This window comes from Homo sapiens, chromosome 7 (genome assembly GCF_000001405.40).
Source record: "Homo sapiens chromosome 7, GRCh38.p14 Primary Assembly".
Lineage (NCBI taxonomy): Eukaryota > Metazoa > Chordata > Mammalia > Primates > Hominidae > Homo > Homo sapiens.
This window is the reverse complement of record NC_000007.14, coordinates 75198940-75212540: the sequence shown is the minus strand read 5'-3', so window position 1 is coordinate 75212540 and position 13601 is coordinate 75198940. Positions and strand designations below refer to the sequence as shown.

The window sequence follows — 13601 nt, the reverse complement described above, 5'->3', positions numbered from 1 at the left end:
GGCCAAGGCGGCTGGATCACCCGAGGTCAGGAGTTCGAGACAAGCCAGGCCAACAATGGTGAAACACTGTCTCTACTAAAAATACAAAAATTGACCAGGTGTGGTGGTGGGCGCCTGGAATCCCAGCTACTTGGGAGGCTGAGGCAGGAGGATTGCTTGAACCCGGGAGGTGGAGGTTGCAGTGAGTCGAGACTGCGCCATTGCACTCCAGCCTGGGAACAAGAGCAAAACTCCGTCTCAGGAAAAAAAAAAAAAAAAAAAAAGATTTAGTTGTGCTCAAGCATCCAGATTATCTTTTCTTTTCAAAACCAGCCTTACTGACTAAATGTTAAATATGTACTAGTCGTTATTAGTTTGCTGAATATTACCTAGTGATTATTGAGTATTTATTCTCACCTTTCAGACATGAGCTTCTGAGTTCAACACGTGAAGATTTACAGCTTGATAAGCCAGCTTCAGGAGGTAGGTCTTCAATCTCGAGGCAGATCAGAAGATTATGTGCAATAATTATTTCACGCTTAACATTGATTTCTTCTTTATGTTACCTTCCACATGAAATAATATGTCTCTAACTATTAATTATGTGCCATTACAGGAGAATTCATGTTGTCAAAATTCTAATAATTTCTAGAAGAATAAACGCATCTTCTTTTTATTAACCCATTGTAAATACTTATAAATATTGCATTTATGGGTAGACAGAAGTAAAAGAACAATATTTGTTCTACTTTTGATGCAAGATTTATCTGGCATAATGCATTGAACAGTTTATTATTGAAGTCTACACGAGTCAATGGAACAAGCATTCATTGAATGTCCATGATATGCAGGACATAAGAAGGTTTCCTTTTAGAGCATGGAGCCATTTATATCATCTCTTAATTGTTAGATGTATTTTGTTTTGTTTTGTTTTGTTTTTTGAGAGGGAGTCTTGCTCTGTTGCCCAGGCTGGAGTGCAGTGGTGCGATCTCCGCTCACTGCAACCTCCCGCCTCCTGGGTTCAAGCAATTCTCCTGCCTCAGCCTCCCTGTAGCTGGGATTACAGGTGCCTGCCACCATGCCCAGCTAATTTTTGTATTTTTCGTAGAGACAGGGTTTCACTATGTTGGCCAGGCTGATCTCAAACTGCTGACCTCAGGTGATCTGCCCACCTCGGCCTCCCAGAGTGCTAGGATTACAGGCATGAGCCACCGCGCCCAGCCTGTTAGATGTGTTTTAAAATAAATAGAAATATAATTGATTTTCTTGCTTGCTTTTGCTCTGGAGTGGAGTGGAGTGAGGATAAAACAGAATGGAATCACCCTGTTGATATTTACTAAGATAGAAGGACTGCAGCAAGATCATAGCCCTAATCTTCCTGTAGCAAGTGTTACCTGCTAGCTGTTCCTGAATACACTGAGTTTTGCTTTTTCCTAGCTCTAATGAATGTTTCGTTCTTCCTCTTTTTGTACAGTGTCAGCATTGTTTTAGAAATAAATACATTCTAGAATCTTAGGAATAATTTTATTATTGTCTTTTTTTTTTTTTGAGACGGAATCTCATTCTGTTGCCCAGGCTGGAGTGCAATGGCGCAATCTCAGCTCACTGCAACCGCTGCCTCCTGGGTTCAAGCGATTCTCCTGCCTCAGCCTCATGAGTAGCTGGGACTACAGGCGTGCGCCATCACGCCTGGCTAATTTTTGTATTTTTAGTAGAGATGGGGTTTCACCATGTTGGCCAGGCTGGTCTCAAACTCCTGACCTCAAGTGACCCGCCTGCCTCGGCTTCCCAAAGTGTTGGGATTACAGGTGTGAGCCATTGCACCTGGCCACGAATCTTAGAAATAATTTTGGCCATAGGAAAAGGAAAAGTTATACCTCTTATTTTATAGTAATAATGTTTAATAATCAAGTTATTAAACCCATTAAATTGAGAACACTTGTATTACTGTTATTTTGACAGTAAAGGAAGAATGGTATGCCAGAATCACTAAATTAAGAAAGATGGTGGATCAGCTTTTCTGCAAAAAATTTGGTAAGTCTGTTTTTTTTAATTACCCCTTCAACTAAAATGTATTACTGAGTAACATTTTTTTAAATGTTGTTTTATTTTAGGAAAGTAAATACAGTGAATAGGACTCAGCTTTAGTTTTCCCTGGTTTTTTTTTTGGGTTTTTTTTTTTTTTTCTTGAGAAGGAGTCTTGCTCTGTTGCCCAGGCTGGAGTGCAGTGGTACGATCTCAGCTCACTGCAACCTCCTCCTCCCGGGTTCAAGCAATTCTCCTGCCTCAGCGTCCCAAGTAGCTGGGATTACAGGTGCCCGCCACCACGCCTGGCTAACTTTTGTATTTTTAGTAGAGATGGGGTTTCGCCATGTTGGCCAGGCTGGTCTCAAACTCCTGAATTCAGGTGATCCACCCGCCTCAGCCTCCTAAAGTGCTGGGATTATAGGCGTGAGCCACCGCGCCCGGCCCCCATTCTATGAATTATCTGTGGAAAGTTATTTCCTTTAAAATGGCATGCTCGTGAGGTTGAAGGGGTAAAGAACATTGATCTGGTTGCCACGCAGATGAAAGTGTAGTCGGAAATGTGTTACCAGTTTGCCATAGCCGATGGAGGAGGGTAATTACGGTCCTGAACAGTTAGTAGCAAAAGGCTGCTTCCAGATAGTATTTAGGTTGTGTCCTCTATTGTCCATGATGATTTTCTTTCTCTCTTTTCTTCCTAAGGATATTGAAAAACAAACTTTAATCTTTTAAAGATCTCAGAGCTATTAAGATTGTCTTAGGACCAGGACACTTAAATCTGCCCAAATCTGGCTGTTGATGATCGGTCATCTCTACTTGTCTTTGCTGTATTAAGTCTATTCAATAGTTAATAAATATGTTTCTAGAAAGAGTTTTTTTCAAGTAAAACAAAATTGACCTGTGCCTTTCTTTGGATTGTACTAAAATCTGATTTCAATACAAATGTAGTCTCCCGAATTGCTTTGATTTTTGTCCAGCGGAAGCCTTGGGGAGCACTGAAGCCAAGGCTGTACCGTACCAAAAATTTGAGGCACACCCGAATGATCTGTACGTGGAAGGACTGCCAGAAAACATTCCTTTCCGAAGTCCCTCATGGTATGGAATCCCAAGGCTGGAAAAAATCATTCAAGTGGGCAATCGAATTAAATTTGTTATTAAAAGGTAAGATGATAATCTGTAGAAATAGTTTCAGTGTCTTCCCTGAGAAGAGGTTAATTTGATGAAGAAGGGCCTTTTGTTTACCTTATGACTTATTTCTATTGACAATGAAGGCATTAATATTTAGATTCACTTAGTGAACAAATATTAGTATAAGCATCAGATGTGCAAAATTGGGTCTAACAAGAACACTGTCCTTGGGGCCTTCATACAAAGAAAAATGCACTGAAGGCCGGGCGCGGCAGCTCACGCCTGTAATCGCAGCACTTTGGGAGGCCAAGGCAGGTGGATCACTTGAGGTCAGGAGTTCAAGACTAGCCTGGCCAACATGATGAAGCCCCATCTCTAGTAAAAATACAAAAATTAGCTGGAAGCGGTGGTGCGAGCCTGTAGTCCCAGCTACTCGGGAGGCTGAGGTTGGAGAATCACTTGAACCCTAGAGGCGGAGGTTGCAGTGAGCCGAGATCGTGCCACTGCACTCCAGCCTGGGCAACAGAGCGAGACTCCATCTCAAAATAATTAAAAAAAAAAAAAATAGAAAAATGCAACGAAGTGTTATTGAGCGTTTTTAAGGGAGAAGGCAAGGATGGCACACCTAGCTCGGTCACTTGTGCATCCAGAAGAGATGGAAGGTGTTTCAAGTGAAGGAAATCATATGAGTAGGGGGAGGAGGTGGCAAATATGCCTGCGTATCCACAGAACTCACCCACCGTGTGTGGAGTGAGGACTGCCACGTGGGCGTGGTGGGGTTGCATGGATCGACTTGGGTGGGCAAGTGGAGGAAGGCCTGAGATCCTACGAACACAGGCAGTCACGAAGTGGTCTCGAGGCAGATGCCTCTGAAAATAATGTGGATCCGCCCTTTAGAAAGGTAATTCTGGCTTGATTTTGAAGGATAACACAATGGTTAGTTTGGGTGCGGGGTTAGGAACAGAAGGCCTCTCTCCACTCATTGACGGGATGTGGAAGGGTAAACCTTCCTTACTGATTGGGGTCATGCCTCTGTGTGTTTGTTGGGACTGAGTTATAAGGGATAGGAAACGTTTAAGATGCTACAGCGAGCTGCTTCTGGCTGTGCTGTGGGACAGTTCATCTAAGATTCAGAAACAGAATTGAGCTGGTTTGGGGGAAAAGTGACTTTCGCCTGTTTATCTTAAATATAGGATGATTTTGAAGGTCTCACCCGAATATCTGAAAATTGCCATTTTCAAAATAAACTCGTCACCAAAATGATTTTTTTTTCACTATAAAATGAAGGCAGGATGAACCATATTTATAACTAATTGGCAATGAACAGCTGTGTGAGAAAGGCCTGTGAGTTGCTTCTAAATGCTTTATTACTAATATCAACTCTGTTTCTACAGACCAGAACTTCTGACTCACAGTACCACTGAAGTTACTCAGCCAAGAACGAATACACCAGGTAAACTAGTTGTGAAATCCTTTTTTAAAAACACAGATCAGCCAGGCTCGGTGGCTCACACCTGTAATCCCAGCACTTTAGGAGGCTGAGGCGGGCAGATCACAAGGTCAGGAGATCAAGACCATCCTGGCTAACATGGTGAAACCCCATGTCTACTAAAATACAAAAAAATTAGCCGGGCCTGGTGGCGGGCACCTGTAGTCCCAGCTACTCGGGAGGCTGAGGCAGGAGAATGGCATGAACCCAGGAGGCGGAGCTTGCAGTGAGCCGAGATCACGCCATTGTACTCCAGCCTGGGCAGCAGAGCAAGACTCTCTCAGAAAAAAAAAAAAAAAAAAGCACAGATCAATACTTTTTAAGCTTTTAAAAGTTAATCTTTTAAAATTATGGAAGTCCCCCTTCCCCTGCCTCCCCAAAAAATCATTTGCAGAAGCTCAATCCAGCCACTCCTTGATTTATCAATGTGAACACCTGCAGTGCACAGATAACTCAAGCTTTGACCGTAGACCACTGCTATCCATGAGAAAGGCAGTGTGCCCCACAAATGCAAGCCACATGTGTAATCGTCCACGTTCTAGTTCAGCCTGTAATCATTATAAAGAAATACACAGGGAAGTATTTCACGGTCTTTATCCCATGTTCTTTATTTGACAGTTGGCGCGTCTTTCATACTCACAGCATATTTCAGTTCCAAGTAGCCACATTTCAAACATTTCAACTGCTCGGGGATAGTACCTGCTATATGCATTTAGACCTTAATGTTTATTCATATGTATCGTGTTCCTAAAATGGCAGACTGTAACTCTGACCTGCACACAAATATCACAGCCTAATAGGGAAGATCTAAGAAGTCTCTGTTCAATGAATGATGTTATTTTCTTTATTAGAGCTCTAAGTGTGCCTTTATTTCTTTCCTATCTTTTTTTTTTTTTTTTTTTGAGACGGAGCCTCACTCTGTCATCCAGGCTGGAGTGCAGTGGTGCAATCTCGGCTCACTGGGGCCTCCGCCTCCCGGGTTCAAGCAGCTCTCCCGCCTCAGCCTCCCGAGTAGATGGGACTACAGCTGCACGCCACCACACCTGGGCTAATTTTTGTATTTTTAGTAGAGATGGGGTTTCACCATGTCAGTCTGGCTGGTCTTGAACTCCTGACCTCAGGTGATCCACCTGCCCTGGCCTCCCAAAGTGTTGGGATTATAGGCATGAGCCACTGCACCTGACCTCTTTCTTTTTGTTTGCCGTTGTGTAATGTCAGAGGAAGTGACCACACTCTGTAGATCATCAGCCACCTTAGGAACTTCTGTTGCCAAGAACCAATAAATGCCCATACCCTGTAGTGTGTAAATGCCCATACCCTGTAGTGTGAAGTTTTCTGTTGTTAGAAATAAGTGTTAGGAATCAAGTATGAAATTTGTGTGTGTACTAGGTGTATACAGATTGGTGCAGTTAATCATGCTCACGACTACTAAGGTGAACAAATGTTTCAAGTTGGGTTCCTGGGTGTGCCCTAAAATACTTCTCCTTCAGCTCTCACAGCACCTTGTGGACATGAGTGAAGGTCAGTCAGTGTGCCAAATAGATTTTGTGTGGATTATGGCATGGAAAGTGGCTGAGAAATTCTGTAGCAGGGTAACAAAATTATCTTGGTCCAGGAGTCCTGTAGTGGAGAAGATAAAAGTCAATGCTTAACTCATAGGTTAACCTCAGCATGCTTTTGATTTGGTCAAGCAATCAAAGTACTGGTGAAGAATTGAAGATTGGAAGTGACACATTTTTTGCTCAGGGAAGTAATGGAGAAAGAAAAATCTTCCTGGAGGTAGATCTTCAGTTTGGATTAGTCTGAACATGATGAAACCTGTAGAAACCTTCATTTCTCAAGACAAAGCTCAAATTCAAGGTTGTGAGGAATGCAGTCACCACTTTTGTTAGGGGCAGTTGTGACAGTGAGTGACTGCAAAAACTGAGAATGCGAAGCCTCTATTGTAAAAAGAATGTGCAAGTGCCATAGAAGTCACTGCAAGGATTGGGTGCTGGAGCAGTGCCGGACCTGCCATCGTCACCAGAGTGCAGCAGATTCACCAGAAGGAGAATCTCCACTCTTGTCGTCACTAACAGCACTTGACTTTGTCCCATTCATAAAAGATCTTGGAAGGAATTAAAGGTGCTTGGTGGTTCCTCATTCCAACAACACCTTACTTGGCCTGCCCGTGGAACATGCGTTAGTCTTTGGACAGGACAACTCGAGTCACAGACCACAAGAGAAAAGAATTTTGTGGCCATCAGAATTGTCTGCTTAAACACACCACGGGTGCACAGTGTCCTCAGCTTGGTGAAAGGGAGATGTCACACGCGAGAAGGCAGCGGAGCCAGGCATGTGATGGAGTGGGAGGTGGCACCTGGCTCTGTGAGGAGGCTGTGAAGTCCTGCATGGGAGGAGCAAGGTGGGGGAGGAGGGGGTGGGGGTGGGGCAGAAGAGGAGGCTGAGCAGTTAATAGAGGCGCTCGACCTTAGAGGAGGAGAGTCCGAGGTCTTTATTGGTAGTATTCAAATGTGGTTCATCCAGAGTTATTTTCTGTGGCTGAATGGCCTACTCTGAAATCCACAGGGAAAAAACAACTCACATTCAACCCTTGAGATGCTAAGTTTTCTTTTAAAGTAAAGGAAATGTTATAAGATTTTCTGAAACCACCAACCTTTAGCGATATTGTCAGACCTTCTCCAACATTTTCCACTGCATTTGTCAGCAATCAGAGATGACCTCCACACCGAGGCGAACCCTCCACCCCCCGACCCGTTTCCTCTTTCTCTCTTTCCCTCCTTTGCTCATCCAGAAACACTTCAGTCATCCTGCATTGTCTCCAAGTTGACCTCCATCCTCATCCGCACCTCGTCCACACCTGAATACTCTGTCCACATCAGTGATATTCTACATGTCTTTATAATAGCTTTTTTGTTTGTTTGTTTGTTTGTTTTTTAAATTTTGATGCTTAAAAGGCAATGGTTGTCTTAGGGATAGGAAAACACACCCCACTGTCACTGTGAGTGAAGCTGAATAACGTCTCTAGGTCTTTTACCATTGCTTTCTTTTTTTTCTGAAGTGATTTTTCCTTTTATGTCCATTGCTTTAAGCCATTCGTGAAATTGCACAGTGATTTCTGGAGTGGGGACAGAAGGAAGGCGGTAGTAAAAGTCATTGGTGCTGTGGCCCAGTTGGCTGGAGGAGGTGCAGGGCAGGGCGGCCTGCGCTGGGGCAGCTGGAGGAGCACAGATGTCCCCACGGGCAGGTGGATGAGTTCTGAGAGCTGGAGGGCCGGTACAGTGTCCTCCATGGTTCCAGCTTGTGGGCTTGATCAGGCCGTCACCTGCGGTGGCCACTGAGCTGGCGATGAACTCCGTGGCCTTGGAGTCGCCCTCGGCAGAGATGATGGCCGCCGTCTTCTGCTGCTCAGCCCTTGCCACCACAGATCTGGCCCTCTCTTCTTCCTGCTGAGCCACCTCTTTGGTTCCACTGCTTCTGCAAATTCCTTCCCGAAGGTCAGATCCAAGGTCACAGCATCCAGGAGGAGCCCAAAGGTTGCTGCTTGCTCCGAAGTTAATTGCTCACCTGTCTGGAGCCCAGCTCTCCCTGCGTGATCAGTTCTCCAGCGTCAGCCTGAGCCGCCCCCAGCTTGAGGAGCTCCGCAGTGATGGATGGCAGCACATTCTTCATTGGCTTCTCCAGTAATTGGAAGATGCAAGGACCTGGCCAGCAACAAGGTGGGAAGAGGACGCCCAGTGTGATGGTGACAATCTTTGCTCACAGTGATGATTGGTGCATAATGTGGTCAAGAGCAGCAGTCAAAAATAATTGGTTTCTTTTCCCATGGGATGAGAAAGTGCGTTCCTTCCCCTATCACAGTGTCCTGAATGCCATGGAATTGGTCGAAGATGACAGACAGCTCTCTGTGCAGCATCACATTGTAGAAGGCAGAGTTCCCCACACCTCCTGCAGAAGCTAAGGACAGGGCAGACTTGGCAGCTGTGTTTCCATCTGCTGGACCCACTCACGCCTGCGTCCACTCCAACCCCCCACATGAATTCCGTCCCTTTATCATTGATTTCTGATGCGAAAAGTCACTTTGATTAGTGAAGTGTTGCTTTATGTAGATTTTTAGGCACACATCTGTTAGATAAAACGAGGATTGCCTGTAGAGAAAGCAAATAAAAGCAAAGTCCCTCTTGTTGAAACTGGTGTGGGAGCCCTTGAACCTCATGCAGCTGGCCTCCCTGCTCTGACCGAGTTCCCTGAGGGACTTCTCCAAGGAGGAATGTGTGAGAAGCACTGATTTTGAGCACTCTTTCATGTGGACAAATTTCACTTTATTTACAATGTAAACTTAAATTTAAATTCTGTCTTTCTAGGCTGGGCACGGTGGCTCACGCCTGTAATCCCAACACTTTGGGAGGCCGAGGCGGGCAGATCACTTGAGGTCAGGCATTCAAGACCAGCTTGGCCAACATGGTGAAACCCTGTCTCTACTAAAAATATAAAAATTAGCCGGGCGTGGTGGCGGCTACCTGTAATCCCAGCTACTCGGGAGGCTGAGGCAGGAGAATCGCTTGAACCCAGGAGGCGGAGGTTGCTGTGAGCTGAGATCACGCCACTGCACTCCAGCCTGGGCGTCATAGCAAGACTCTTTCTCTAAATAAATAAATTAATTCTGTCTTTCTGCAGTTTTTCTGATATTTGGCAAGTACTGGAAATTATTATTTTCCTTAAGACCCCAAATTTTCACACCAACATGGCACATGTATACATATGTAACAAACCTGCACGTTGTGCACATGTACCCTAGAACTTAAAGTATGATAAAAAATAAATAAATTAATTAATTTAAAAAAAAAGACCCCAAATGTTTGCTTTTAACAAAACTGAATTAAGAGAATCACTGCAGGCCGGGCGTGGTGGCTCACGCCTGTAATCCCAGCACTTTGGGAGGCCGAGGCGGGCAGATCACGAGGTCAGGAGATCAAGACCTTCCTGGCTAACACCGTGAAACCCCATCTCTACTAAAAATACAAAAAGAAATTAGCTGGGCATGGTGGCGGGTGCCTGTAGTCCCAGCTACTCAGGAGGCTGAGGCAGGAGAATGGCGTGAACCTGGGAGGCGAAGCTTGCAGTGAGCCGAGATCGCGCCACTGCGCTCCAGCCTGGGCGACAGAGCAAGACTCTGTCTCAAAAAAATAAAACAAAACAAACAAAAAAGAATCACTGCAAACAAGAGTACTTTCTAGCAAAATCCATTCTGATTTGCAACAGCACTGATAAATAACATGGTTATTGGGTTTCTTTTTGTTTTCCAGTCAAAGAAGATTGGAATGTCAGAATTACCAAGCTACGGAAGCAAGTGGAAGAGATTTTTAATTTGAAATTTGGTAAGTAAAAGCCAGTATTTATGTCTTTAATAACATATCAACAAAGGGCCATGTCTGAATGAAGTATAGAAGTTCGGGACCAGCCGGGTGCAGTGGCTCACGCCTGTAATCGCAGCACTTTGGGAGGCCAAGGCGGGCGGATCGGGAGGTCAGGAGATCGAGACCATCCTGGCGAACACGATGAAACCCCGTCTCTACTAAAAATACAGGAAAATTAGCCGGGCGTGGTGGCGGGCGCCTGTAGTCCCAGCTACTCGGGAGGCTGAGGCAGGGGAATGGCTTGAACCCCAGAGGCGGAGCTTGCAGTGAGCCAAAATCGCACCACTGCACTCCAGCCTGGGCGACAGAGTGAGACTCTGTCTCAAAAAAAAAAAAAAAAGAAGGAAAAAAAGTTCAGGACCTAAAGAAGGAAGGTCCCAGAAACTGGGTTTCTGTTTCTTTCTACCACTACACTTGCTACTGAAACCAAGCAGATGACTTCATTTCTCTTGGATTCCACTTTCTCACGTGTCAGAATGGGAGAGGAAGGGAGGTGTTGGGATAAGTTTCAGTTCCACTGTTTGTACTTCTCGTCTGGCTAACACCCATGTGGCAAATAGGTTTCATCATTTGTTTCAGCTTAGATTTGTTGACAGCGGTTTCCTGGAGTGCTGTCTTGAGAACGATTCTGAGGAGGCTCAGCAAGAAAGAGTGTTTCAGTTGATTGGGTGTGTCTGTCATGGAGAAGGAAGTAAGGAGTGGGCAGTGCTAGCAAAATTCCCGGGGCACTTCTGTCCATTATCTCAATACCTGGGGTTGACATTTCCTGTCTCAGATCAGGAGTCCTGACTACCCTGCCTCTGACCACTCGAACTGAGTGCTGCTTAGCTGTATCGTAGACACCGCCTGTTTGTGAACAGACACCCTGCTTCTTGATGATAACACAAAGGCCAGCAGGGTCCACTGCTGTGTGGAATGGCCTTCGGTCATTTCTGCCCAGAGCATAGAGGTCATTTTCACTAATAACATAACTCTCCTTTTGATTGAAAGTGTTAAAATGTTCCTCCTAAAAGCACTTATTTTTTAGGCTCGTTCTTCAGATTTGCCCCATATCCTAAGCAAAATGCCTTCAATATGAAGTGGATATTGCTTGACCGTAGGGAGCTTGTCCATACTGTACTCGAGAATGTAGACACAAAGAAAGAATGTCTGTGTCAAATGTTATCCTCCGCAACTTAACGTTCTCTTGCACTTTCAGCTCAAGCTCTTGGACTCACCGAGGCAGTAAAAGTACCATATCCTGTGTTTGAATCAAACCCGGAGTTCTTGTATGTGGAAGGCTTGCCAGAGGGGATTCCCTTCCGAAGCCCTACCTGGTTTGGAATTCCACGACTTGAAAGGATCGTCCGCGGGAGTAATAAAATCAAGTTCGTTGTTAAAAAGTAAGTTCTTTTTGCCACTGTAGTCGTTTCTGGAATCAAAACAATAAAATGACATTTCTGTTAAGATGTTTTTCAAGCTAGAGGTGACAGGCGTGGCTGTAAGTCCTTGATGGCAAAGCCTGGCTGTGAGCTGCAGTCCGGGTACTGTCCATTGCCCCTGCCCATACTCAATCATCTTCATCCGTGCAAGGAAAATAGTGACAATCGCCTCCGCGGAGTCACCGTGAGGCCCCGTGGTGACTCGCAGTATGCCTGAGTACTTGAATGGAAGTTTAATTTGCTGGTTTTTATCTGCTCTGTTATTCCTGGTCAATCTTGAGAGCGACTAAATATTGATGATTGAGTTTCTTTCTTTTTTTTGAGACGGACTCTTGCTCTGTCGCCCAGGCTTGAGTGCGGTGGCGCAATCTGAGCTCACTGCAACCTCCGCCTCCTGGGTTCGAGCAATTCTCGTGCCTCAGCCTCCCGAGTAGCTGGGATTACAGACTTGCACCGCCACGCCTGGCTAATTTTTGTATTTTTAGAATAGATGGAGCTTCACCGTGTTGGCTAGGCTGGTCTGGAATTCCTGACCTCAGGTGATCCACCCGCCTCAGCCTCCCAGAATGCTGGGATTACAGGCATGAGCCACCGTGCACGGCCTAATGATTGATTTTCTTATCTACATTTCTGCAGAATTTTAGTGGCTAAAGAAAGTACACTAGTGTTTTTTTTTTCTTTTTTAATGAAAATAGTCACTTATTTACTCTTCATAAAATGGCTTACCAGTCATGGGAAGGAAAAGTCAGGGTCTTTTGTCCACAACACTAGGAATTATTGTGTTACAGGATGATTCTGTGAATGCCTTTAGAAAAAAAACCCTGATCACATCACGACCGTTTTACTAGCTGTGAGGCCACCACTGTACTGGCTACTGTAACACTTCTTGGTTTTCTTTCTAGACCTGAACTAGTTATTTCCTACTTGCCTCCTGGGATGGCTAGTAAAATAAACACTAAAGGTAAGAGACGACGTGTACTCCGTATCCTATTTGAGCGCATTAAGACACTCTTTATCCGCATTCCTTAAATCATACGGAATCGGCCAATATCTCTGTGGGGCTTGGAGTTGTTTACTTTGCTTTCTAAGGTATTTTATTTAATGGAACTATTTTTCTTTTTTTTTTTTAAAAAAACAAAACATTTCATTGGAAATGTCACATTTGCAATCCCAGTTCATTCATGTTTTCACAGCTTTGTTGAGCCCCTGTGGAGGATTACACTACAAGTTTAATTCTGCAGGTTTCTTTGAAAAGAACCAAACTGTATGAATTTTAATACTCTGCTCTTATAAAGCATCTCCTTCTGTATTTTTTTTTCCCTACAATATACAAAAGGAACTCTGCTTATTTTACAGCTTTGCAGTCCCCCAAAAGACCACGAAGTCCTGGGAGTAATTCAAAGGTTCCTGAAATTGAGGTCACCGTGGAAGGTAAGGGCCAGTCCTCGGTATGTTTCTGTTCATTCTCTAGTTTACTAATTATGTCAGTTCACTAGCTATGTGTTTATACAGGTTTATACAGATGACGTTAACCAAACTAGCTTTTAACTGTGAACAGCTGCCTGTGATAAAGCTAAATTTCTGAATGCTTCTAATTGAAAATTTTTAAATCCTTAATAGAAAACAGATAACATGGATCACATCATAAACTTCCCCCAAGAAAAGTCCTAAAATGCTTTTCCTTTATCATAACAAATAAGGGTGCAGAGTCATGTGGAATGTTTTATCTTTTTTTTCCTCTTCATTTTTTTCTATTCTTTTAAGGAAAGAAAGTTTAGGGTGGTTTAAACAGCAGTGCCTTGAATTATTTTCTTTTTCTTTTTTGAGACAGAGTCTGGCTCTCTTGCCCAGGGTGGAGTGCAGTGGCACAATCTCGGCTCACTGCAGCCTCCGCCTCCCGGGTCAAGTGATTCTCCTGCCTCAGCCTCCCAGGTAGCTGGGATTACAGGCGTCCACCACCAACTCCAGCTAATTTTTATATCTTTAGTAGAGACGGGGTTTTACCACGTTGGCCAGGCTGGTCTCGAACCCCTGACCTCAAGTGAGCCACCACGCCCAGCTGGTTCTTGTCTTTTCAGGCTCACAGTGTTAAAATACTGCATACAATACTAAAGACAATCTCCAACCAACTGTCAAGTATGG

The 13601-nt window shown here is 44.5% G+C and overlaps 2 pseudogenes across 1 annotated transcript in view; one reads left to right on the top strand and one right to left on the bottom strand.

The window, feature by feature from the left end:
• The window catches only part of GTF2IP1 (general transcription factor IIi pseudogene 1), a 52323-nt pseudogene that overhangs the window by 25165 nt on the left and 13557 nt on the right, over positions 1-13601 (top strand). Inside the window, exons 5-12 of the transcript NR_002206.3 lie at positions 404-462; positions 1942-2013; positions 2982-3165; positions 4527-4585; positions 9928-9999; positions 11237-11420; positions 12362-12420; positions 12816-12890. The product of NR_002206.3 is annotated as a general transcription factor IIi pseudogene 1 (transcript). The remainder of the gene's footprint in view (positions 1-403; positions 463-1941; positions 2014-2981; positions 3166-4526; positions 4586-9927; positions 10000-11236; positions 11421-12361; positions 12421-12815; positions 12891-13601) is intronic.
• PHB1P6 (PHB1 pseudogene 6) lies at positions 7830-8615 on the bottom strand (annotated as a pseudogene).